Source organism: Homo sapiens, chromosome 3, assembly GCF_000001405.40.
Source record: "Homo sapiens chromosome 3, GRCh38.p14 Primary Assembly".
Lineage (NCBI taxonomy): Eukaryota > Metazoa > Chordata > Mammalia > Primates > Hominidae > Homo > Homo sapiens.
The window spans coordinates 91,687,085-91,714,780 of NC_000003.12; the positions used below are offsets into that span (position 1 = coordinate 91,687,085).

Sequence of the window (27,696 nt, forward strand, 5' to 3'; positions counted from 1 at the left end):
TCTTCGTTGGAAATGGGATTTCTTCATATAATGCTAGACAGAAGACTTCTCAGTAACTGCTTTTTCTGGTGTGTATTCAACTCTCAGAGTTGAACTTTCCTTTAGAAACAGCAGATTTGAAACTCTCTTTTTGTGGAATTTGCAAGTGGAGATTTCAGAGCTTTGAGGCCAATGGTAGAAAAGGAAATATCTTCGTATGCAAACTAGACAGAATCATTCTCAGAAACTACTTTGGTACGTGTGTGTTCAACTCACAGTGTTTAACCTTTCTTTTCATAGAGCAGTTTGGAAACACTCAGTTTGTAAAGTCAGCAACTGGATATTTGGATGTATTTGAGGCCTTCGTTGGAAACGGGATTTCTTCATATAATGCTAGACAGAAGAATTCTCAGTAACTTCTTTGGGTTGTGGGTATTCAAGTCACAGAGTTGAAGCTTCCTTTAGGCGGAGCAGATTGGAAACACTTTTTGTGGAATTTTCAGGGGGAGACTTCAAGCGCTTTGAAGTGAATGGTAGGAAAGGAAATATCTTCGTATAAAAACTAGACGGAGTCATTCTCAGAAACTACTTTGTGATGTTTGCGTTCAACTCACAGAGTTTAACGTTTCTTTTCATAGAGCAGTTTGGAAACACTCTTTTTGCAGAATCTGCAAGTGGATATTTGGACCTCTTTGTGGCCTTCGTTGGAAACGGGATTTTTCATATAATGCTAGACAGAAGAATTCTCAGTAACTTCTTTTTGTGGTGTGTATTCAACTCACAGAGTTGAACCTTCCTTTAGACAGAGCAGATTTGAAACTCTCTTTTTGTGGAATTTGCAAGTGGAGATTTCAAGCGCTTTGAGGCCAACGGCAGAAAAGGAAATATCTTCGTAGAGAAAATAGACGGAATCATTCTCAGAAACTGCTTTGGGATGTGTGCATTGAACTCACAGTGTTTAACACTTCTTTTCATAGAGCACTTTGGAAACACTCAGGTTGTAATGTCTGCAGCTGGATATTTGGACCTCTTTGAGGCCTTCGTGGTAAACGGGATTTCTTCGTGTAATGATAGACAATAGAATTCTCAGTGAATTTTTTTCTGTGTGTGTGTATTCAACTCACAGGGTTGAACCTTCCTTTAGACAGTGCAGATTTGAAACACTTGTCTGTGGAATTTGCAAGGGGAGATTTCAAGCACTTTGAGGCCATTGGTGGAAAAGGAAATATCTTCGTATGAAAACTAGACAGAATCATTCTCAGGAACTACTTTGTGATATGTGCATTCAACTCCCAGAGTTTAACCTTTCTTTTCATAGATGAGTTTGGAAACAGTCAGTTTGTAAATTCTGCAACTGGATATTTGGACCTCTTTGAGGCTTTCGTTGGAAACGGGATTTCTTCACATAATGCTAGACAGAAGAATTCTCAGTAACTTCTTTTGGGATGTATGTATTCAAATCAGAGAGTTGAACCTTCCTTTAGACAGAGCGGATTGGAAACACTCTTTTTGTGGAATTTGCAAGTGGAAAATTCTAGCAGTATGAGGCCAATGGTACAAAAGGAAATATCTTCGTATAAAAACTAGACAGTATCATTCTCAGAAACTGCTTTGTGATGTGTGTATTAAACTCACAGAGTTGAACATTTCTTTGCATAGAGCAGTTTGGAAAGACTTAGTTTGTGCAGTGTGCAAGTGGATATTTGGAACTCTTTGAGGCCTTCGTTGGAAACGGGATTTCTTCTTATAATTCTTGACAAAAGAATTCTCAGTAGCTTCTTTGTGTGTGTGTATTCAACTCACAGAGTTGAACCTTCCTTTAGACAGAGCAGATTGGAAACACTCTTTTTGTGGAATTTGCAAGTGGAGAATTCTAGCGCTTTGACGCCAATGGTAGACAGGAAATATCTTCGTATAAAAACTAGACAGTATCATTCTCAGAAACTCCTTTGTGATGTGTGCGTTCAACTCACAGAGTTTAACCTTTCTTTTCATAGAGCAGTTTGGAAACACTCTGTTTGTGAAGTCTGCAAGTGGATATTTAAACGTCTTTGAGGCCTTCGTTGGAAACGGGATTTCTTCATATAAACCAGGACAGAAGGATTCTCAGAAACTTCTTGTTTGTTATGTGTGCATTCAACTCACAGAGTTGAACCTTACTTTGGAAAGAGCAGTTTTCTAACACTCTTTTTGTAAAAGTTCCAAGTGAATACTTTGAGTGCTTTGAAGCCTACGGTAGACAACGAAATATTCTTCATGTAAAAACTACAAAGAATCATTCGCAGAAACCACGTTGTGATCTCTGCATTCAACTCACAGAGTTGAACCTTTCTTCCTATAGAGCAGTTGTGAAACAGTCTCTTTGTAGAATTTGCAAGGGTGTATTTAGAGGGCATTGAAGCCTACGGTAGAAAAGGAAATATCTTACCATAAAATCTAGTCAGAAGCATTCTCAGCAACTGAGTTGTGATGTGTCCATTCAACTCACAGAGTTCAACATTCCTTTTAATGGAGCGGTTTTGAAACACTCTTTTTGCAGAATCTGCAAGTGGATATTTGGACCTCTTTGAGGCCTTCGTTGGAAACGGGATTTCTTCATGTAATGCCAGACAGAAGAATTCTCAGTGAATTCTTTCTGTGTGTGTGTATTCAACTCACAGAGTTGAACGTTCCTTTAGACAGAGTAGATTGGAAACACTCTTTTTGTGGAATTTTCAGGTGGAGGTATCAAGCGCTTTGAGGCCAATGATAGAAAAGGAAATACCTTCGTATAATAATTAGACGGAATCATTCTCAGAAACTGCTTTGCAATGTGTGCGTTCAACTCACAGTGTTTAACCTTTCTTTTCATACAGTTGTTTCGAAACACTCTTTTTGCAGAATCTGCAAGTGGATATTTGGACCTCTTTGAAGTCTTCGTTGGAAATGGGATTTCTTCATATAATGCTAGACAGAAGACTTCTCAGTAACTGCTTTTTCTGGTGTGTATTCAACTCTCAGAGTTGAACTTTCCTTTAGAAACAGCAGATTTGAAACTCTCTTTTTGTGGAATTTGCAAGTGGAGATTTCAGAGCTTTGAGGCCAATGGTAGAAAAGGAAATATCTTCGTATGCAAACTAGACAGAATCATTCTCAGAAACTACTTTGGTACGTGTGTGTTCAACTCACAGTGTTTAACCTTTCTTTTCATAGAGCAGTTTGGAAACACTCAGTTTGTAAAGTCAGCAACTGGATATCTGGATGTATTTGAGGCCTTCGTTGGAAACGGGATTTCTTCATATAATGCTAGACAGAAGAATTCTCAGTAACTTCTTTGGGTTGTGGGTATTCAACTCACAGAGTTGAAGCTTCCTTTAGGCGGAGCAGATTGGAAACACTTTTTGTGGAATTTTCAGGGGGAGACTTCAAGCGCTTTGAAGTGAATGGTAGGAAAGGAAATATCTTCGTATAAAAACTAGACGGAGTCATTCTCAGAAACTACTTTGTGATGTTTGCGTTCAACTCACAGAGTTTAACGTTTCTTTTCATAGAGCAGTTTGGAAACACTCTTTTTGCAGAATCTGCAAGTGGATATTTGGACCTCTTTGTGGCCTTCGTTGGAAACGGGATTTTTCATATAATGCTAGACAGAAGAATTCTCAGTAACTTCTTTTTGTGGTGTGTATTCAACTCACAGAGTTGAACCTTCCTTTAGACAGAGCAGATTTGAAACTCTCTTTTTGTGGAATTTGCAAGTGGAGATTTCAAGCGCTTTGAGGCCAACGGCAGAAAAGGAAATATCTTCGTAGAAAAAATAGACGGAATCATTCTCAGAAACTGCTTTGGGATGTGTGCATTGAACTCACAGTGTTTAACACTTCTTTTCATAGAGCACTTTGGAAACACTCAGTTTGTAATGTCTGCAGCTGGATATTTGGACCTCTTTGAGGCCTTCGTAGTAAACGGGATTTCTTCGTGTAATGATAGACAATAGAATTCTCAGTGAATTTTTTTCTGTGTGTGTGTATTCAACTCACAGGGTTGAACCTTCCTTTAGACAGTGCAGATTTGAAACACTTGTCTGTGGAATTTGCAAGGGGAGATTTCAAGCACTTTGAGGCCATTGGTGGAAAAGGAAATATCTTCGTATAAAAACTAGACAGAATCATTCTCAGGAACTACTTTGTGATATGTGCATTCAACTCACAGAGTTTAACCTTTCTTTTCATAGATGAGTTTGGAAACAGTCAGTTTGTAAATTCTGCAACTGGATATTTGGACCTCTTTGAGGCTTTCGTTGGAAACGGGATTTCTTCACATAATGCTAGACAGAAGAATTCTCAGTAACTTCTTTTGGGATGTATGTATTCAAATCAGAGAGTTGAACCTTCCTTTAGACAGAGCGGATTGGAAACACTCTTTTTGTGGAATTTGCAAGTGGAAAATTCTAGCAGTATGAGGCCAATGGTACAAAAGGAAATATCTTCGTATAAAAACTAGACAGTATCATTCTCAGAAACTGCTTTGTGATGTGTGTATTAAACTCACAGAGTTGAACATTTCTTTGCATAGAGCAGTTTGGAAAGACTTAGTTTGTGCAGTGTGCAAGTGGATATTTGGAACTCTTTGAGGCCTTCGTTGGAAACGGGATTTCTTCTTATAATTCTTGACAAAAGAATTCTCAGTAGCTTCTTTGTGTGTGTGTATTCAACTCACAGAGTTGAACCTTCCTTTAGACAGAGCAGATTGGAAACACTCTTTTTGTGGAATTTGCAAGTGGAGAATTCTAGCGCTTTGACGCCAATGGTAGAAAGGAAATATCTTCGTATAAAAATTAGACAGTATCATTCTCAGAAGCTACTTTGTGATGTGTGCGTTCAACTCACAGAGTTTAACCTTTCTTTTCATAGAGCAGTTTGGAAACCCTCTGTTTGTGAAGTCTGCAAGTGGATATTTAAACGTCTTTGAGGCCTTCGTTGGAAACGGGATTTTTTCATATAAACCAGGACAGAAGAATTCTCAGAAACTTCTTGATTGTTATGTGTGCATTCAACTCACAGAGTTGAACCTTACTTTGGAAAGAGCAGTTTTCTAACACTCTTTTTGTAAAAGTTCCAAGTGAATACTTTGAGTGCTTTGAAGCCTACGGTTGACAACGAAATATCTTCATGTAAAAACTACAAAGAATCATTCGCAGAAACCACGTTGTGATCTCTGCATTCAACTCACAGAGTTCAACCTTTCTTCCTATAGAGCAGTTATGAAACAGTCTCTTTGTAGAATTTGCAAGGGTGTATTTAGAGGGCATTGAAGCCTACGGTAGAAAAGGAAATATCTTACCATAAAATCTAGTCAGAAGCATTCTCAGAAACTGAGTTGTGATGTTTGCATTCAACTCACAGAGTTCAACATTCCTTTTAATGGAGCGGTTTTGAAACACTCTTTTTGCAGAATCTGCAAGTGGATATTTGGATCTCTTTGAGGCCTTCGTTGGAAACGGGATTTCTTCATGTAATGCCAGACAGAAGAATTCTCAGTGAATTCTTTCTGTGTGTGTGTATTCAACTCACAGAGTTGAACGTTCCTTTAGACAGAGTAGATTGGAAACACTCTTTTTGTGGAATTTTCAGGTGGAGGTATCAAGCGCTTTGAGGCCAATGATAGAAAAGGAAATACCTTCGTATAATAATTACACGGAATCATTCTCAGAAACTGCTTTGCAATGTGTGCGTTCAACTCACAGTGTTTAACCTTTCTTTTCATACAGTTGTTTCGAAACACTCTTTTTGCAGAATCTGCAAGTGGATATTTGGACCTCTTTGAAGTCTTCGTTGGAAATGGGATTTCTTCATATAATGCTAGACAGAAGACTTCTCAGTAACTGCTCTTTCTGGTGTGTATTCAACTCTCAGAGTTGAACTTTCCTTTACAAACAGCAGATTTGAAACTCTCTTTTTGTGGAATTTGCAAGTGGAGATTTCAGAGCTTTGAGGCCAATGGTAGAAAAGGAAATATCTTCGTATGCAAACTAGACAGAATCATTCTCAGAAACTACTTTGGTACGTGTGTGTTCAACTCACAGTGTTTAACCTTTCTTGTCATAGAGCAGTTTGGAAACACTCAGTTTGTAAAGTCAGCAACTGGATATTTGGATGTATTTGAGGCCTTCGTTGGAAACGGGATTTCTTCATATAGTGCTAGACAGAAGAATTCTCAGTAACTTCTTTGGGTTGTGGGTATTCAAGTCACAGAGTTGAAGCTTCCTTTAGGCGGAGCAGATTGGAAACACTTTTTGTGGAATTTTCAGGGGGAGACTTCAAGCGCTTTGAAGTGAATGGTAGGAAAGGAAATATCTTCGTATAAAAACTAGACGGAGTCATTCTCAGAAACTACTTTGTGATGTTTGCGTTCAACTCACAGAGTTTAACGTTTCTTTTCATAGAGCAGTTTGGAAACACTCTTTTTGCAGAATCTGCAAGTGGATATTTGGACCTCTTTGTGGCCTTCGTTGGAAACGGGATTTTTCATATAATGCTAGACAGAAGAATTCTCAGTAACTTCTTTTTGTGGTGTGTATTCAACTCACAGAGTTGAACCTTCCTTTAGACAGAGCAGATTTGAAACTCTCTTTTTGTGGAATTTGCAAGTGGAGATTTCAAGCGCTTTGAGGCCAACGGCAGAAAAGGAAATATCTGCGTAGAAAAAATAGACGGAATCATTCTCAGAAACTGCTTTGGGATGTGTGCATTGAACTCACAGTGTTTAACACTTCTTTTCATAGAGCAATTTGGAAACACTCAGTTTGTAATGTCTGCAGCTGGATATTTGGACCTCTTTGAGGCCTTCGTAGTAAACGGGATTTCTTCGTGTAATGATAGACAATAGAATTCTCAGTGAATTTTTTTCTGTGTGTGTGTATTCAACTCACAGGGTTGAACCTTCCTTTAGACAGTGCAGATTTGAAACACTTGTCTGTGGAATTTGCAAGGGGAGATTTCAAGCACTTTGAGGCCATTGGTGGAAAAGGAAATATCTTCGTATAAAAACTAGACAGAATCATTCTCAGGAACTACTTTGTGATATGTGCATTCAACTCACAGAGTTTAACCTTTCTTTTCATAGATGAGTTTGGAAACAGTCAGTTTGTAAATTCTGCCACTGGATATTTGGACCTCTTTGAGGCTTTCGTTGGAAACGGGATTTCTTCACATAATGCTAGACAGAAGAATTCTCAGTAACTTCTTTTGGGATGTATGTATTCAAATCAGAGAGTTGAACCTTCCTTTAGACAGAGCGGATTGGAAACACTCTTTTTGTGGAATTTGCAAGTGGAAAATTCTAGCAGTATGAGGCCAATGGTACAAAAGGAAATATCTTCGTATAAAAACTAGACAGTATCATTCTCAGAAACTGCTTTGTGATGTGTGTATTAAACTCACAGAGTTGAACATTTCTTTGCATAGAGCAGTTTGGAAAGACTTAGTTTGTGCAGTGTGCAAGTGGATATTTGGAACTCTTTGAGGCCTTCGTTGGAAACGGGATTTCTTCTTATAATTCTTGACAAAAGAATTCTCAGTAGCTTCTTTGTGTGTGTGTATTCAACTCACAGAGTTGAACCTTCCTTTAGACAGAGCAGATTGGAAACACTCTTTTTGTGGAATTTGCAAGTGGAGAATTCTAGCGCTTTGACGCCAATGGTAGAAAGGAAATATCTTCGTATAAAAACTAGACAGTATCATTCTCAGAAGCTACTTTGTGATGTGTGCGTTCAACTCACAGAGTTTAACCTTTCTTTTCATAGAGCAGTTTGGAAACCCTCTGTTTGTGAAGTCTGCAAGTGGATATTTAAACGTCTTTGAGGCCTTCGTTGGAAACGGGATTTTTTCATATAAACCAGGACAGAAGAATTCTCAGAAACTTCTTGATTGTTATGTGTGCATTCAACTCACAGAGTTGAACCTTACTTTGGAAAGAGCAGTTTTCTAACACTCTTTTTGTAAAAGTTCCAAGTGAATACTTTGAGTGCTTTGAAGCCTACGGTTGACAACGAAATATCTTCATGTAAAAACTACAAAGAATCATTCGCAGAAACCACGTTGTGATCTCTGCATTCAACTCACAGAGTTGAACCTTTCTTCCTATAGAGCAGTTATGAAACAGTCTCTTTGTAGAAATTGCAAGGGTGTATTTAGAGGGCATTGAAGCCTACGGTAGAAAAGGAAATATCTTACTATAAAATCTAGTCAGAAGCATTCTCAGCAACTGAGTTGTAATGTTTGCATTCAACTCACAGAGTTCAACATTCCTTTTAATGGAGCGGTTTTGAAACACTCTTTTTGCAGAATCTGCAAGTGGATATTTGGACGTCTTTGAGGCCTTCGTTGGAAACGGGATTTCTTCATGTAATGCCAGACAGAAGAATTCTCAGTGAATTCTTTCTGTGTGTGTGTATTCAACTCACAGAGTTGAACCTTCCTTTAGACAGAGCAGATTTGAAACTCTCTTTTTGTGGAATTTGCAAGTGGAGATTTCAAGCGCTTTGAGGCCAACGGCAGAAAAGGAAATATCTTCGTAGAAAAAATAGACGGAATCATTCTCAGAAACTGCTTTGGGATGTGTGCATTGAACTCACAGTGTTTAACACTTCTTTTCGTAGAGCACTTTGGAAACACTCAGTTTGTAATGTCTGCAGCTGGATATTTGGACCTCTTTGAGGCCTTCGTAGTAAACGGGATTTCTTCGTGTAATGATAGACAATAGAATTCTCAGTGAATTTTTTTCTGTGTGTGTGTATTCAACTCACAGGGTTGAACCTTCCTTTAGACAGTGCAGATTTGAAACACTTGTCTGTGGAATTTGCAAGGGGAGATTTCAAGCACTTTGAGGCCATTGGTGGAAAAGGAAATATCTTCGTATGAAAACTAGACAGAATCATTCTCAGGAACTACTTTGTGATATGTGCATTCAACTCCCAGAGTTTAACCTTTCTTTTCATAGATGAGTTTGGAAACAGTCAGTTTGTAAATTCTGCAACTGGATATTTTGACCTCTTTGAGGCTTTCGTTGGAAACGGGATTTCTTCACATAATGCTAGACAGAAGAATTCTCAGTAACTTCTTTTGGGATGTATGTATTCAAATCAGAGAGTTGAACCTTCCTTTAGACAGAGCGGATTGGAAACACTCTTTTTGTGGAATTTGCAAGTGGAAAATTCTAGCAGTATGAGGCCAATGGTACAAAAGGAAATATCTTCGTATAAAAACTAGACAGTATCATTCTCAGAAACTGCTTTGTGATGTGTGTATTAAACTCACAGAGTTTAACCTTTCTTTTCATAGAGCAGTTTGGAAACCCTCTGTTTGTGAAGTCTGCAAGTGGATATTTAAACGTCTTTGAGGCCTTCGTTGGAAACGGGATTTTTTCATATAAACCAGGACAGAAGAATTCTCAGAAACTTCTTGATTGTTATGTGTGCATTCAACTCACAGAGTTGAACCTTACTTTGGAAAGAGCAGTTTTCTAACACTCTTTTTGTAAAAGTTCCAAGTGAATACTTTGAGTGCTTTGAAGCCTACGGTTGACAACGAAATATCTTCATGTAAAAACTACAAAGAATCATTCGCAGAAACCACGTTGTGATCTCTGCATTCAACTCACAGTGTTGAACCTTTCTTCCTATAGAGCAGTTATGAAACAGTCTCTTTGTAGAATTTGCAAGGGTGTATTTAGAGGGCATTGAAGCCTACGGTAGAAAAGGAAATATCTTACCATAAAATCTAGTCAGAAGCATTCTCAGAAACTGAGTTGTGATGTTTGCATTCAACTCACAGAGTTCAACATTCCTTTTAATGGAGCGGTTTTGAAACACTCTTTTTGCAGAATCTGCAAGTGGATATTTGGACCTCTTTGAGGCCTTCGTTGGAAACGGGATTTCTTCATGTAATGCCAGACAGAAGAATTCTCAGTGAATTCTTTCTGTGTGTGTGTATTCAACTCACAGAGTTGAACGTTCCTTTAGACAGAGTAGATTGGAAACACTCTTTTTGTGGAATTTTCAGGTGGAGGTATCAAGCGCTTTGAGGCCAATGATAGAAAAGGAAATACCTTCGTATAATAATTAGACGGAATCATTCTCAGAAACTGCTTTGCAATGTGTGCGTTCAACTCACAGTGTTTAACCTTTCTTTTCATACAGTTGTTTCGAAACACTCTTTTTGCAGAATCTGCAAGTGGATATTTGGACCTCTTTGAAGTCTTCGTTGAAAATGGGATTTCTTCATATAATGCTAGACAGAAGACTTCTCAGTAACTGCTTTTTCTGGTGTGTATTCAACTCTCAGAGTTGAACTTTCCTTTAGAAACAGCAGATTTGAAACTCTCTTTTTGTGGAATTTGCAAGTGGAGATTTCAGAGCTTTGAGGCCACTGGTAGAAAAGGAAATATCTTCGTATGCAAACTAGACAGAATCATTCTCAGAAACTACTTTGGTACGTGTGTGTTCAACTCACAGTGTTTAACCTTTCTTTTCATAGAGCAGTTTGGAAACACTCAGTTTGTAAAGTCAGCAACTGGATATTTGGATGTATTTGAGGCCTTCGTTGGAAACGGGATTTCTTCATATAGTGCTAGACAGAAGAATTCTCAGTAACTTCTTTGGGTTGTGGGTATTCAAGTCACAGAGTTGAAGCTTCCTTTAGGCGGAGCAGATTGGAAACACTTTTTGTGGAATTTTCAGGGGGAGACTTCAAGCGCTTTGAAGTGAATGGTAGGAAAGGAAATATCTTCGTATAAAAACTAGACGGAGTCATTCTCAGAAACTACTTTGTGATGTTTGCGTTCAACTCACAGAGTTTAACGTTTCTTTTCATAGAGCAGTTTGGAAACACTCTTTTTGCAGAATCTGCAAGTGGATATTTGGACCTCTTTGTGGCCTTCGTTGGAAACGGGATTTTTCATATAATGCTAGACAGAAGAATTCTCAGTAACTTCTTTTTGTGGTGTGTATTCAACTCACAGAGTTGAACCTTCCTTTAGACAGAGCAGATTTGAAACTCTCTTTTTGTGGAATTTGCAAGTGGAGATTTCAAGCGCTTTGAGGCCAACGGCAGAAAAGGAAATATCTTCGTAGAAAAAATAGACGGAATCATTCTCAGAAACTGCTTTGGGATGTGTGCATTGAACTCACAGTGTTTAACACTTCTTTTCATAGAGCACTTTGGAAACACTCAGTTTGTAATGTCTGCAGCTGGATATTTGGACCTCTTTGAGGCCTTCGTAGTAAACGGGATTTCTTCGTGTAATGATAGACAATGTAATTCTCAGTGAATTTTTTTCTGTGTGTGTGTATTCAACTCACAGGGTTGAACCTTCCTTTAGACAGTGCAGATTTGAAACACTTGTCTGTGGAATTTGCAAGGGGAGATTTCAAGCACTTTGAGGCCATTGGTGGAAAAGGAAATATCTTCGTATGAAAACTAGACAGAATCATTCTCAGGAACTACTTTGTGATATGTGCATTCAACTCCCAGAGTTTAACCTTTCTTTTCATAGATGAGTTTGGAAACAGTCAGTTTGTAAATTCTGCAACTGGATATTTGGACCTCTTTGAGGCTTTCGTTGGAAACGGGATTTCTTCACATAATGCTAGACAGAAGAATTCTCAGTAACTTCTTTTGGGATGTATGTATTCAAATCAGAGAGTTGAACCTTCCTTTAGACAGAGCGGATTGGAAACACTCTTTTTGTGGAATTTGCATGTGGAAAATTCTAGCAGTATGAGACCAATGGTACAAAAGGAAATATCTTCGTATAAAAACTAGACAGTATCATTCTCAGAAACTGCTTTGTGATGTGTGTATTAAACTCACAGAGTTGAACATTTCTTTGCATAGAGCAGTTTGGAAAGACTTAGTTTGTGCAGTGTGCAAGTGGATATTTGGAACTCTTTGAGGCCTTCGTTGGAAACGGGATTTCTTCTTATAATTCTTGACAAAAGAATTCTCAGTAGCTTCTTTGTGTGTGTGTATTCAACTCACAGAGTTGAACCTTCCTTTAGACAGAGCAGATTGGAAACACTCTTTTTGTGGAATTTGCAAGTGGAGAATTCTAGCGCTTTGACGCCAATGGTAGAAAGGAAATATCTTCGTATAAAAACTAGACAGTATCATTCTCAGAAGCTACTTTGTGATGTGTGCGTTCAACTCACAGAGTTTAACCTTTCTTTTCATAGAGCAGTTTGGAAACCCTCTGTTTGTGAAGTCTGCAAGTGGATATTTAAACGTCTTTGAGGCCTTCGTTGGAAACGGGATTTTTTCATATAAACCAGGACAGAAGAATTCTCAGAAACTTCTTGATTGTTATGTGTGCATTCAACTCACAGAGTTGAACCTTACTTTGGAAAGAGCAGTTTTCTAACACTCTTTTTGTAAAAGTTCCAAGTGAATACTTTGAGTGCTTTGAAGCCTACGGTTGACAACGAAATATCTTCATGTAAAAACTACAAAGAATCATTCGCAGAAACCACGTTGTGATCTCTGCATTCAACTCACAGAGTTGAACCTTTCTTCCTATAGAGCAGTTATGAAACAGTCTCTTTGTAGAATTTGCAAGGGTGTATTTAGAGGGCATTGAAGCCTACGGTAGAAAAGGAAATATCTTACCATAAAATGTAGTCAGAAGCATTCTCAGCAACTGAGTTGTGATGTTTGCATTCAACTCACAGAGTTCAACATTCCTTTTAATGGAGCGGTTTTGAAACACTCTTTTTGCAGAATCTGCAAGTGGATATTTGGACCTCTTTGAGGCCTTCGTTGGAAACGGGATTTCTTCATGTAATGCCAGACAGAAGAATTCTCAGTGAATTCTTTCTGTGTGTGTGTATTCAACTCACAGAGTTGAACGTTCCTTTAGACAGAGTAGATTGGAAACACTCTTTTTGTGGAATTTTCAGGTGGAGGTATCAAGCGCTTTGAGGCCAATGATAGAAAAGGAAATACCTTCGTATAATAATTAGACGGAATCATTCTCAGAAACTGCTTTGCAATGTGTGCGTTCAACTCACAGTGTTTAACCTTTCTTTTCATACAGTTGTTTCGAAACACTCTTTTTGCAGAATCTGCAAGTGGATATTTGGACCTCTTTGAAGTCTTCGTTGGAAATGGGATTTCTTCATATAATGCTAGACAGAAGACTTCTCAGTAACTGCTTTTTCTGGTGTGTATTCAACTCTCAGAGTTGAACTTTCCTTTAGAAACAGCAGATTTGAAACTCTCTTTTTGTGGAATTTGCAAGTGGAGATTTCAGAGCTTTGAGGCCAATGGTAGAAAAGGAAATATCTTCGTATGCAAACTAGACAGAATCATTCTCAGAAACTACTTTGGTACGTGTGTGTTCAACTCACAGTGTTTAACCTTTCTTTTCATAGAGCAGTTTGGAAACACTCAGTTTGTAAAGTCAGCAACTGGATATTTGGATGTATTTGAGGCCTTCGTTGGAAACGGGATTTCTTCATATAATGCTAGACAGAAGAATTCTCAGTAACTTCTTTGGGTTGTGGGTATTCAAGTCACAGAGTTGAAGCTTCCTTTAGGCGGAGCAGATTGGAAACACTTTTTGTGGAATTTTCAGGGGGAGACTTCAAGCGCTTTGAAGTGAATGGTAGGAAAGGAAATATCTTCGTATAAAAACTAGACGGAGTCATTCTCAGAAACTACTTTGTGATGTTTGCGTTCAACTCACAGAGTTTAACGTTTCTTTTCATAGAGCAGTTTGGAAACACTCTTTTTGCAGAATCTGCAAGTGGATATTTGGACCTCTTTGAGGCCTTCGTAGTAAACGGGATTTCTTCGTGTAATGATAGACAATAGAATTCTCAGTGAATTTTTTTCTGTGTGTGTGTATTCAACTCACAGGGTTGAACCTTCCTTTAGACAGTGCAGATTTGAAACACTTGTCTGTGGAATTTGCAAGGGGAGATTTCAAGCACTTTGAGGCCATTGGTGGAAAAGGAAATATCTTCGTATGAAAACTAGACAGAATCATTCTCAGGAACTACTTTGTGATATGTGCATTCAACTCACAGAGTTTAACCTTTCTTTTCATAGATGAGTTTGGAAACAGTCAGTTTGTAAATTCTGCAACTGGATATTTGTACCTCTTTGAGGCTTTCGTTGGAAACGGGATTTCTTCACATAATGCTAGACAGAAGAATTCTCAGTAACTTCTTTTGGGATGTATGTATTCAAATCAGAGAGTTGAACCTTCCTTTAGACAGAGCGGATTGGAAACACTCTTTTTGTGGAATTTGCAAGTGGAAAATTCTAGCAGTATGAGGCCAATGGTACAAAAGGAAATATCTTCGTATAAAAACTAGACAGTATCATTCTCAGAAACTGCTTTGTGATGTGTGTATTAAACTCACAGAGTTGAACATTTCTTTGCATAGAGCAGTTTGGAAAGACTTAGTTTGTGCAGTGTGCAAGTGGATATTTGGAACTCTTTGAGGCCTTGGTTGGAAACGGGATTTCTTCTTATAATTCTTGACAAAAGAATTCTCAGTAGCTTCTTTGTGTGTGTGTATTCAACTCACAGAGTTGAACCTTCCTTTAGACAGAGCAGATTGGAAACACTCTTTTTGTGGAATTTGCAAGTGGAGAATTCTAGCGCTTTGACACCAATGGTAGAAAGGAAATATCTTCGTATAAAAACTAGACAGTATCATTCTCAGAAGCTACTTTGTGATGTGTGCGTTCAACTCACAGAGTTTAACCTTTCTTTTCATAGAGCAGTTTGGAAACACTCTGTTTGTGAAGTCTGCAAGTGGATATTTAAACGTCTTTGAGGCCTTCGTTGGAAACGGGATTTTTTCATATAAACCAGGACAGAAGAATTCTCAGAAACTTCTTGATTGTTATGTGTGCATTCAACTCACAGAGTTGAACCTTACTTTGGAAAGAGCAGTTTTCTAACACTCTTTTTGGAAAAGTTCCAAGTGAATACTTTGAGTGCTTTGAAGCCTACGGTTGACAACGAAATATCTTCCTGTAAAAACTACAAAGAATCATTCGCAGAAACCACGTTGTGATCTCTGCATTCAACTCACAGAGTTGAACCTTTCTTCCTATAGAGCAGTTATGAAACAGTCTCTTTGTAGAATTTGCAAGGGTGTATTTAGAGGGCATTGAAGCCTACGGTATAAAAGGAAATATCTTACCATAAAATCTAGTCAGAAGCATTCTCAGAAACTGAGTTGTGATGTTTGCATTCAACTCACAGAGTTCAACATTCCTTTTAATGGAGCGGTTTTGAAACACTCTTTTTGCAGAATCTGCAAGTGGATATTTGGACCTCTTTGAGGCCTTCGTTGGAAACGGGATTTCTTCATGTAATGCCAGACAGAAGAATTCTCAGTGAATTCTTTCTGTGTGTGTGTATTCAACTCACAGAGTTGAACGTTCCTTTAGACAGAGTAGATTGGAAACACTCTTTTTGTGGAATTTTCAGGTGGAGGTATCAAGCGCTTTGAGGCCAATGATAGAAAAGGAAATACCTTCGTATAATAATTAGACGGAATCATTCTCAGAAACCGCTTTGCAATGTGTGCGTTCAACTCACAGTGTTTAACCTTTCTTTTCATAGAGTTGTTTCGAAACACTCTTTTTGCAGAATCTGCAAGTGGATATTTGGACCTCTTTGAAGTCTTCGGTTGGAAATGGGATTTCTTCATATAATGCTAGACAGAAGACTTCTCAGTAACTGCTTTTTCTGGTGTGTATTCAACTCTCAGATTTGAACCTTCCTTTAGAAACAGCAGATTTGAAACTCTCTTTTTGTGGTATTTGCAAGTGGAGAATTCAAGTGCTTTGAGGCCAACGGTAGAAAAGGAAATATCTTCGTAGAAAAAATAGACGGAATCATTCTCAGAAACTGCTTTGTGATGTGTGCATTGAACTCACAGTGTTTAACACTTCTTTTCATAGAGCACTTTGGAAACACTCAGTTTGTATTGTCTGCAACTGGATATTTGGACCTCTTTGAGGCATTCGTGGTAAACGGGATTTCTTCGTGTAATGATAGACAATAGAATTCTCAGTGAATTTTTTTCTGTGTGTGTGTATTCAACTCACAGGGTTGAACCTTCCTTTAGACAGTGCAGATTTGAAACACTTGTCTGTGGAATTTGCAAGGGGAGATTTCAAGCACTTTGAGGCCATTGGTGGAAAAGGGAATATCTTCGTATAAAAACTAGACAGAATCATTCTCAGGAACTACTTTGTGATATGTGCATTCAACTCACAGAGTTTAACCTTTCTTTTCATAGATGAGTTTGGAAAGAGTCAGTTTGTAAATTCTGCAACTGGATATTTGGACCTCTTTGAGGCTTTCGTTGGAAACGGGATTTCTTCACATAATGCTAGACAGAAGAATTCTCAGTAACTTCTTTTGGGATGTATGTATTCAACTCAGAGAGTTGAACCTTCCCTTAGACAGAGCGGATTGGAAACACGCTTTTTGTGGAATTTTCAGGTGGAGATTTCAATAACCTTGAGGCCAATGGTAGAAAAGGCTATCTTCGTATAAAAACTAGACGGAATCATTCTCAGAAACTGCTTTGTGATGTGTGTATTAAACTCACAGAGTTGAACATTTCTTTGCATAGAGCAGTTTGGAAAGACTTAGTTTTTGCAGTGTGCAAGTGGATATTTGGAACTCTTTGAGGCCTTCGTTGGAAACGGGATTTCTTCTTATAATTTCTTGAAAAAAGAATTCTCAGTAGCTTCTTTGTGTGTGTGTATTCAACTCACAGAGTTGAACCTTCCTTTAGACAGAGCAGATTGGAAACACTCTTTTTGTGGAATTTGCAAGTGGAGAATTCTAGCGCTTTGACGCCAATGGTAGAAAGGAAATATCTTCGTATAAAAACTAGACAGTATCATTCTCAGAAGCTACTTTGTGATGTGTGCGTTCAACTCACAGAGTTTAACCTTTCTTTTCATAGAGCAGTTTGGAAACCCTCTGTTTGTGAAGTCTGCAAGTGGATATTTAAACGTCTTTGAGGCCTTCGTTGGAAACGGGATTTTTTCATATAAACCAGGACAGAAGAATTCTCAGAAACTTCTTGATTGTTATGTGTGCATTCAACTCACAGAGTTGAACCTTACTTTGGAAAGAGCAGTTTTCTAACACTCTTTTTGTAAAAGTTCCAAGTGAATACTTTGAGTGCTTTGAAGCCTACGGTTGACAACGAAATATCTTCATGTAAAAACTACAAAGAATCATTCGCAGAAACCACGTTGTGATCTCTGCAGTCAACTCACAGAGTTCAACCTTTCTTCCTATAGAGCAGTTATGAAACAGTCTCTTTGTAGAATTTGCAAGGGTGTATTTAGAGGGCATTGAAGCCTACGGTAGAAAAGGAAATATCTTACCATAAAATCTAGTCAGAAGCATTCTCAGAAACTGAGTTGTGATGTTTGCATTCAACTCACAGAGTTCAACATTCCTTTTAATGGAGCGGTTTTGAAACACTCTTTTTGCAGAATCTGCAAGTGGATATTTGGACCTCTTTGAGGCCTTCGTTGGAAACGGGATTTCTTCATGTAATGCCAGACAGAAGAATTCTCAGTGAATTCTTTCTGTGTGTGTGTATTCAACTCACAGAGTTGAACGTTCCTTTAGACAGAGTAGATTGGAAACACTCTTTTTGTGGAATTTTCAGGTGGAGGTATCAAGCGCTTTGAGGCCAATGATAGAAAAGGAAATACCTTCGTATAATAATTAGACGGAATCATTCTCAGAAACTGCTTTGCAATGTGTGCGTTCAACTCACAGTGTTTAACCTTTCTTTTCATACAGTTGTTTCGAAACACTCTTTTTGCAGAATCTGCAAGTGGATATTTGGACCTCTTTGAAGTCTTCGTTGGAAATGGGATTTCTTCATATAATGCTAGACAGAAGACTTCTCAGTAACTGCTCTTTCTGGTGTGTATTCAACTCTCAGAGTTGAACTTTCCTTTACAAACAGCAGATTTGAAACTCTCTTTTTGTGGAATTTGCAAGTGGAGATTTCAGAGCTTTGAGGCCAATGGTAGAAAAGGAAATATCTTCGTATGCAAACTAGACAGAATCATTCTCAGAAACTACTTTGGTACGTGTGTGTTCAACTCACAGTGTTTAACCTTTCTTTTCATAGAGCAGTTTGGAAACACTCAGTTTGTAAAGTCAGCAACTGGATATTTGGATGTATTTGAGGCCTTCGTTGGAAACGGGATTTCTTCATATAATGCTAGACAGAAGAATTCTCAGTAACTTCTTTGGGTTGTGGGTATTCAAGTCACAGAGTTGAAGCTTCCTTTAGGCGGAGCAGATTGGAAACACTTTTTGTGGAATTTTCAGGGGGAGACTTCAAGCGCTTTGAAGTGAATGGTAGGAAAGGAAATATCTTCGTATAAAAACTAGACGGAGTCATTCTCAGAAACTACTTTGTGATGTTTGCGTTCAACTCACAGAGTTTAACGTTTCTTTTCATAGAGCAGTTTGGAAACACTCTTTTTGCAGAATCTGCAAGTGGATATTTGGACCTCTTTGTGGCCTTCGTTGGAAACGGGATTTTTCATATAATGCTAGACAGAAGAATTCTCAGTAACTTCTTTTTGTGGTGTGTATTCAACTCACAGAGTTGAACCTTCCTTTAGACAGAGCAGATTTGAAACTCTCTTTTTGTGGAATTTGCAAGTGGAGATTTCAAGCGCTTTGAGGCCAACGGCAGAAAAGGAAATATCTTCGTAGAAAAAATAGACGGAATCATTCTCAGAAACTGCTTTGGGATGTGTGCATTGAACTCACAGTGTTTAACACTTCTTTTCATAGAGCACTTTGGAAACACTCAGTTTGTAATGTCTGCAGCTGGATATTTGGACCTCTTTGAGGCCTTCGTAGTAAACGGGATTTCTTCGTGTAATGATAGACAATAGAATTCTCAGTCAATTTTTTCCTGTGTGTGTGTATTCAACTCACAGGGTTGAACCTTCCTTTAGACAGTGCAGATTTGAAACACTTGTCTGTGGAATTTGCAAGGGGAGATTTCAAGCACTTTGAGGCCATTGGTGGAAAAGGAAATATCTTCGTATAAAAACTAGACAGAATCATTCTCAGGAACTACTTTGTGATATGTGCATTCAACTCCCAGAGTTTAACCTTTCTTTTCATAGATGAGTTTGGAAACAGTCAGTTTGTAAATTCTGCCACTGGATATTTGGACCTCTTTGAGGCTTTCGTTGGAAACGGGATTTCTTCACATAATGCTAGACAGAAGAATTCTCAGTAACTTCTTTTGGGATGTATGTATTCAAATCAGAGAGTTGAACCTTCCTTTAGACAGAGCGGATTGGAAACACTCTTTTTGTGGAATTTGCAAGTGGAAAATTCTAGCAGTATGAGGCCAATGGTACAAAAGGAAATATCTTCGTATAAAAACTAGACAGTATCATTCTCAGAAACTGCTTTGTGATGTGTGTATTAAACTCACAGAGTTGAACATTTCTTTGCATAGAGCAGTTTGGAAAGACTTAGTTTGTGCAGTGTGCAAGTGGATATTTGGAACTCTTTGAGGCCTTCGTTGGAAACGGGATTTCTTCTTATAATTTCTTGAAAAAAGAATTCTCAGTAGCTTCTTTGTGTGTGTGTATTCAACTCACAGAGTTGAACCTTCCTTTAGACAGAGCAGATTGGAAACACTCTTTTTGTGGAATTTGCAAGTGGAGAATTCTAGCGCTTTGACGCCAATGGTAGAAAGGAAATATCTTCGTATAAAAACTAGACAGTATCATTCTCAGAAGCTACTTTGTGATGTGTGCGTTCAACTCACAGAGTTTAACCTTTCTTTTCATAGAGCAGTTTGGAAACCCTCTGTTTGTGAAGTCTGCAAGTGGATATTTAAACGTCTTTGAGGCCTTCGTTGGAAACGGGATTTTTTCATATAAACCAGGACAGAAGAATTCTCAGAAACTTCTTGATTGTTATGTGTGCATTCAACTCACAGAGTTCAACCTTACTTTGGAAAGAGCAGTTTTCTAACACTCTTTTTGTAAAAGTTCCAAGTGAATACTTTGAGTGCTTTGAAGCCTACGGTTGACAACGAAATATCTTCATGTAAAAACTACAAAGAATCATTCGCAGAAACCACGTTGTGATCTCTGCATTCAACTCACAGAGTTGAACCTTTCTTCCTGTAGAGCAGTTATGAAACAGTCTCTTTGTAGAATTTGCAAGGGTGTATTTAGAGGGCATTGAAGCCTACGGTAGAAAAGGAAATATCTTACCATAAAATCTACTCAGAAGCATTCTCAGCAACTGAGTTGTGATGTTTGCATTCAACTCACAGAGTTCAACATTCCTTTTAATGGAGCGGTTTTGAAACACTCTTTTTGCAGAATCTGCAAGTGGATATTTGGACCTCTTTGAGGCCTTCGTTGGAAACGGGATTTCTTCATGTAATGCCAGACAGAAGAATTCTCAGTGAATTCTTTCTGTGTGTGTGTATTCAACTCACAGAGTTGAACGTTCCTTTAGACAGAGTAGATTGGAAACACTCTTTTTGTGGAATTTTCAGGTGGAGGTATCAAGCGCTTTGAGGCCAATGATAGAAAAGGAAATACCTTCGTATAATAATTAGACGGAATCATTCTCAGAAACTGCTTTGCAATGTGTGCGTTCAACTCACAGTGTTTAACCTTTCTTTTCATACAGTTGTTTCGAAACACTCTTTTTGCAGAATCTGCAAGTGGATATTTGGACCTCTTTGAAGTCTTCGTTGGAAATGGGATTTCTTCATATAATGCTAGACAGAAGACTTCTCAGTAACTGCTTTTTCTGGTGTGTATTCAACTCTCAGAGTTGAACTTTCCTTTAGAAACAGCAGATTTGAAACTCTCTTTTTGTGGAATTTGCAAGTGGAGATTTCAGAGCTTTGAGGCCAATGGTAGAAAAGGAAATATCTTCGTATGCAAACTAGACAGAATCATTCTCAGAAACTACTTTGGTACGTGTGTGTTCAACTCACAGTGTTTAACCTTTCTTTTCATAGAGCAGTTTGGAAACACTCAGTTTGTAAAGTCAGCAACTGGATATTTGGATGTATTTGAGGCCTTCGTTGGAAACGGGATTTCTTCATATAGTGCTAGACAGAAGAATTCTCAGTAACTTCTTTGGGTTGTGGGTATTCAACTCACAGAGTTGAAGCTTCCTTTAGGCGGAGCAGATTGGAAACACTTTTTGTGGAATTTTCAGGGGGAGACTTCAAGCGCTTTGAAGTGAATGGTAGAAAAGGAAATATCTTCGTATAAAAACTAGACGGAGTCATTCTCAGAAACTACTTTGTGATGTTTGCGTTCAACTCACAGAGTTTAACGTTTCTTTTCATAGAGCAGTTTGGAAACACTCTTTTTGCAGAATCTGCAAGTGGATATTTGGACCTCTTTGTGGCCTTCGTTGGAAACGGGATTTTTCATATAATGCTAGACAGAAGAATTCTCAGTAACTTCTTTTTGTGGTGTGTATTCAACTCACAGAGTTGAACCTTCCTTTAGACAGAGCAGATTTGAAACTCTCTTTTTGTGGAATTTGCAAGTGGAGATTTCAAGCGCTTTGAGGCCAACGGTAGAAAAGTAAATATCTTCGTAGAAAAAATAGACGGAATCATTCTCAGAAACTGCTTTGGGATGTGTGCATTGAACTCACAGTGTTTAACACTTCTTTTCATAGAGCACTTTGGAAACACTCAGTTTGTAATGTCTGCAGCTGGATATTTGGACCTCTTTGAGGCCTTCGTAGTAAACGGGATTTCTTCGTGTCATGATAGACAATAGAATTCTCAGTGAATTTTTTTCTGTGCGTGTGTATTCAACTCACAGGGTTGAACCTTCCTTTAGACAGTGTAGATTTGAAACACTTGTCTGTGGAATTTGCAAGGGGAGATTTCAAGCACTTTGAGGCCATTGGTGGAAAAGGAAATATCTTCGTATAAAAACTAGACAGAATCATTCTCAGGAACTACTTTGTGATATGTGCATTCAACTCACAGAGTTTAACCTTTCTTTTCATAGATGAGTTTGGAAACAGTCAGTTTGTAAATTCTGCAACTGGATATTTGGACCTCTTTGAGGCTTTCGTTGGAAACGGGATTTCTTCACATAATGCTAGACAGAAGAATTCTCAGTAACTTCTTTTGGGATGTATGTATTCAAATCAGAGAGTTGAACCTTCCTTTAGACAGAGCGGATTGGAAACACTCTTTTTGTGGAATTTGCAAGTGGAAAACTCTAGCATTATGAGGCCAATGGTACAAAAGGAAATATCTTCGTATAAAAACTAGACAGTATCATTCTCAGAAACTGCTTTGTGATGTGTGTATTAAACTCACAGAGTTGAACATTTCTTTGCATAGAGCAGTTTGGAAAGACTTAGTTTGTGCAGTGTGCAAGTGGATATTTGGAACTCTTTGAGGCCTTCGTTGGAAACGGGATTTCTTCATGTAATGCCAGACAGAAGAATTCTCAGTAGCTTCTTTGTGTGTGTGTACTCAACTCACAGAGTTGAACCTTCCTTTAGACAGAGCAGATTGGAAACACTCTTTTTGTGGAATTTGCAAGTGGAAAATTCTAGCAGTATGAGGCCAATGGTACAAAAGGAAATATCTTCGTATAAAAACTAGACAGTATCATTCTCAGAAACTACTTTGTGAGGTGTGCGTTCAACTCACAGTGTTTACCCTTTCTTTTCATAGAGCAGTTTGGAAACACTCTGTTTGTGAAGTCTGCAAGTGGATATTTAAACGTCTTTGAGGCCTTCGTTGGAAACGGGATTTCTTCATATAAACCAGGACAGAAGAATTCTCAGAAACTTCTTGTTTGTTATGTGTGCATTCAACTCACAGAGTTGAACCTTACTTTGGAAAGAGCAGTTTTCTAACACTCTTTTTTTTAAATTTCCAAGTGAATACTTTGAGTGCTTTGAAGCCTTACGGTAGACAACGAAATATCTTCATGTAAAAACTACAAAGAATCATTCGCAGAAACCACGTTGTGATCTCTGCATTCAACTCACAGAGTTGAACCTTTCCTCCTATAGAGCAGTTATGAAACAGTCTCTTTGTTGAATTTGCAAGGGTGTATTTACAGGGCATTGAAGCCTATGGTAGAAAAGGAAATATCTTACCATAAAATCTAGTCAGAAGCATTCTCAGAAACTGAGTTGTGATGTTTGCATTCAACTCACAGAGTTCAACATTCCTTTTAATGGAGCGGTTTTGAAACACTCTTTTTGCAGAATCTGCAAGTGGATATTTGGACCTCTTTGAGGCCTTCGTTGGAAACGGGATTTCTTCATGTAATGCCAGACAGAAGAATTCTCAGTGAATTCTTTCTGTGTGTGTGTATTCAACTCACGGAGTTGAACGTTCCTTTAGACAGAGTAGATTGGAAACACTCTTTTTGTGGAATTTTCAGGTGGAGGTATCAAGCGCTTTGAGGCCAATGATAGAAAAGGAAATACCTTCGTATAATAATTAGACGGAATCATTCTCAGAAACTGCTCTGCAATGTGTGCGTTCAACTCACAGTGTTTAACCTTTCTTTTCATACAGTTGTTTCGAAACACTCTTTTTGCAGAATCTGCAAGTGGATATTTGGACCTCTTTGAAGTCTTCGTTGGAAATGGGATTTCTTCATATAATGCTAGACAGAAGACTTCTCAGTAACTGCTTTTTCTGGTGTGTATTCAACTCTCAGAGTTGAACTTTCCTTTAGAAACAGCAGAGTTGAAACTCTCTTTTTGTGGAATTTGCAAGTGGAGATTTCAAAGCTTTGAGGCCAATGGTAGAAAAGGAAATATCTTCGTATGCAAACTAGACAGAATCATTCTCAGAAACTACTTTGGTACGTGTGTGTTCAACTCACAGTGTTTAACCTTTCTTTTCATAGAGCAGTTTGGAAACACTCAGTTTGTAAAGTCAGCAACTGGATATTTGGATGTATTTGAGGCCTTCGTTGGAAACGGGATTTCTTCATATAGTGCTAGACAGAAGAATTCTCAGTAACTTCTTTGGGTTGTGGGTATTCAACTCACAGAGTTGAAGCTTCCTTTAGGCGGAGCAGATTGGAAACACTTTTTGTGGAATTTTCAGGGGGAGACTTCAAGCGCTTTGAAGTGAATGGTAGAAAAGGAAATATCTTCGTATAAAAACTAGACGGAGTCATTCTCAGAAACTACTTTGTGATGTTTGCGTTCAACTCACAGAGTTTAACGTTTCTTTTCATAGAGCAGTTTGGAAACACTCTTTTTGCAGAATCTGCAAGTGGATATTTGGACCTCTTTGTGGCCTTCGTTGGAAACGGGATTTTTCATATAATGCTAGACAGAAGAATTCTCAGTAACTTCTTTTTGTGGTGTGTATTCAACTCACAGAGTTGAACCTTCCTTTAGACAGAGCAGATTTGAAACTCTCTTTTTGTGGAATTTGCAAGTGGAGATTTCAAGCGCTTTGAGGCCAACGGTAGAAAAGGAAATATCTTCGTAGAAAAAATAGACGGAATCATTCTCAGAAACTGCTTTGGGATGTGTGCATTGAACTCACAGTGTTTAACACTTCTTTTCATAGAGCACTTTGGAAACACTCAGTTTGTAATGTCTGCAGCTGGATATTTGGACCTCTTTGAGGCCTTCGTAGTAAACGGGATTTCTTCGTGTAATGATAGACAATAGAATTCTCAGTGAATTTTTTTCTGTGTGTGTGTATTCAACTCACAGGGTTGAACCTTCCTTTAGACAGTGCAGATTTGAGACACTTGTCTGTTTAATTTGCAAGGGGAGATTTCAAGCACTTTGAGGCCATTGGTGGAAAAGGAAATATCTTCGTATAAAAACTAGACAGAATCATTCTCAGGAACTACTTTGTGATATGTGCATTCAACTCACAGAGTTTAACCTTTCTTTTCATAGATGAGTTTGGAAACAGTCAGTTTGTAAATGCTGCAACTGGATATTTGGGCCTCTTTGAGGCTTTCGTTGGAAACGGGATTTCTTCACATAATGCTAGACAGAAGAATTCTCAGTAACTTCTTTTGGGATGTATGTATTCAAATCAGAGAGTTGAACCTTCCTTTAGACAGAGCGGATTGGAAACACTCTTTTTGTGGAATTTGCAAGTGGAAAATTCTAGCAGTATGAGGCCAATGGTACAAAAGGAAATATCTTCGTATAAAAACTAGACAGTATCATTCTCAGAAACTGCTTTGTGATGTGTGTATTAAACTCACAGAGTTGAACATTTCTTTGCATAGAGCAGTATGGAAAGACTTAGTTTGTGCAGTGTGCAAGTGGATATTTGGAACTCTTTGAGGCCTTGGTTGGAAACGGGATTTCTTCTTATAATTCTTGACAAAAGAATTCTCAGTAGCTTCTTTGTGTGTGTGTACTCAACTCACAGAGTTGAACCTTCCTTTAGACAGAGCAGATTGGAAACACTCTTTTTGTGGAATTTGCAAGTGGAAAATTCTAGCAGTATGAGGCCAATGGTACAAAAGGAAATATCTTCGTATAAAAACTAGACAGTATCATTCTCAGAAACTACTTTGTGAGGTGTGCGTTCAACTCACAGTGTTTACCCTTTCTTTTCATAGAGCAGTTTGGAAACACTCTGTTTGTGAAGTCTGCAAGTGGATATTTAAACGTCTTTGAGGCCTTCGTTGGAAACGGGATTTCTTCATATAAACCAGGACAGAAGAATTCTCAGAAACTTCTTGTTTGTTATGTGTGCATTCAACTCACAGAAGTTGAACCTTACTTTGGAAAGAGCAGTTTTCTAACACTCTTTTTGTAAAAGTTCCAAGTGAATACTTTGAGTGCTTTGAAGCCTACGGTAGACAACGAAATATCTTCATGTAAAAACTACAAAGAATCATTCGCAGAAACCACGTTGTGATCTCTGCATTCAACACACAGAGTTGAACCTTTCTTCCTATAGAGCAGTTATGAAACAGTCTCTTTGTAGAAATTGCAAGGGTGTATTTAGAGGGCATTGAAGCCTACGGTAGAAAAGGAAATATCTTACTATAAAATACTAGTCAGAAGCATTCTCAGCAACTGAGTTGTGATGTTTCCATTCAACTCACAGAGTTCAACATTCCTTTTAATGGAGCGGTTTTGAAACACTCTTTTTGCAGAATCTGCAAGTGGATATTTGGACCTCTTTGAGGCCTTCGTTGGAAACGGGATTTCTTCATGTAATGCCAGACAGAAGAATTCTCAGTGAATTCTTTCTGTGTGTGTGTATTCAACTCACAGAGTTGAACGTTCCTTTAGACAGAGTAGATTGGAAACACTCTTTTTGTGGAATTTTCAGGTGGAGGTATCAAGCGCTTTGAGGCCAATGATAGAAAAGGAAATACCTTCGTATAATAATTAGACGGAATCATTCTCAGAAACTGCTTTGCAATGTGTGCGTTCAACTCACAGTGTTTAACCTTTCTTTTCATACAGTTGTTTCGAAACACTCTTTTTGCAGAATCTGCAAGTGGATATTTGGACCTCTTTGAAGTCTTCGTTGGAAATGGGATTTCTTCATATAATGCTAGACAGAAGACTTCTCAGTAACTGCTTTTTCTGGTGTGTATTCAACTCTCAGAGTTGAACTTTCCTTTAGAAACAGCAGAGTTGAAACTCTCTTTTTGTGGAATTTGCAAGTGGAGATTTCAAAGCTTTGAGGCCAATGGTAGAAAAGGAAATATCCTTCGTATGCAAACTAGACAGAATCATTCTCAGAAACTACTTTGGTACGTGTGTGTTCAACTCACAGTGTTTAACCTTTCCTTTCATAGAGCAGTTTGGAAACACTCAGTTTGTAAAGTCAGCCACTGGATATTTGGATGTATTTGAGGCCTTCGTTGGAAACGGGATTTCTTCATATAATGCTAGACAGAAGAATTCTCAGTAACTTCTTTGTGTTGTGGGTATTCAACTCACAGAGTTGAAGCTTCCTTTAGGCGGAGCAGATTGGAAACACTTTTTGTGGAATTTTCAGGGGGAGACTTCAAGCGCTTTCAGGCCAACGGTAGAAAAGGAAATATCTCCGTATAAAAACTAGACGGAGTCATTCTCAGAAACTACTTTGTGATGTTTGCGTTCAACTCACAGAGTTTAACGTTTCTTTTCATAGAGCAGTTTGGAGACACTGTTTTTGCAGAATCTGCAAGTGGATATTTGGACCTCTTTGTGGCCTTCGTTGGAAACGGGATTTTTCATATAATGCTAGACAGAAGAATTCTCAGTAACTTCTTTTTGTGGTGTGTATTCAACTCACAGAGTTGAACCTTCCTTTAGACAGAGCAGATTTGAAACTCTCTTTTTGTGGAATTTGCATTGGAGATTTCAAGCACTTTGAGGCCAACGGTAGAAAAGGAAATATCTTCGTAGAAAAAATAGACGGAATCATTCTCAGAAACTGCTTTGGGATGTGTGCATTGAACTCACAGTGTTTAACACTTCTTTTCATAGAGCACTTTGGAAACACTCAGTTTGTAATGTCTGCAGCTGGATATGTGGACCTCTTTGAGGCCTTCGTAGTAAACGGGATTTCTTCGTGTAATGATAGACAATAGAATTCTCAGTGAATTTTTTTCTGTGTGTGTGTATTCAACTCACAGGGTTGAACCTTCCTTCAGACAGTGCAGATTTGAAACACTTTTC

At 38.3% G+C, this 27,696-nt stretch overlaps 1 annotated feature.

The window, feature by feature from the left end:
* Positions 1 to 27,696: part of a centromere (Linear centromere model derived predominantly from reads generated in PMID: 17803354. This region does not represent an actual centromere sequence, as long-range ordering of repeats and unmapped WGS contigs is not provided by the model. For details of model production, see http://arxiv.org/abs/1307.0035.) that runs on past both edges of the window.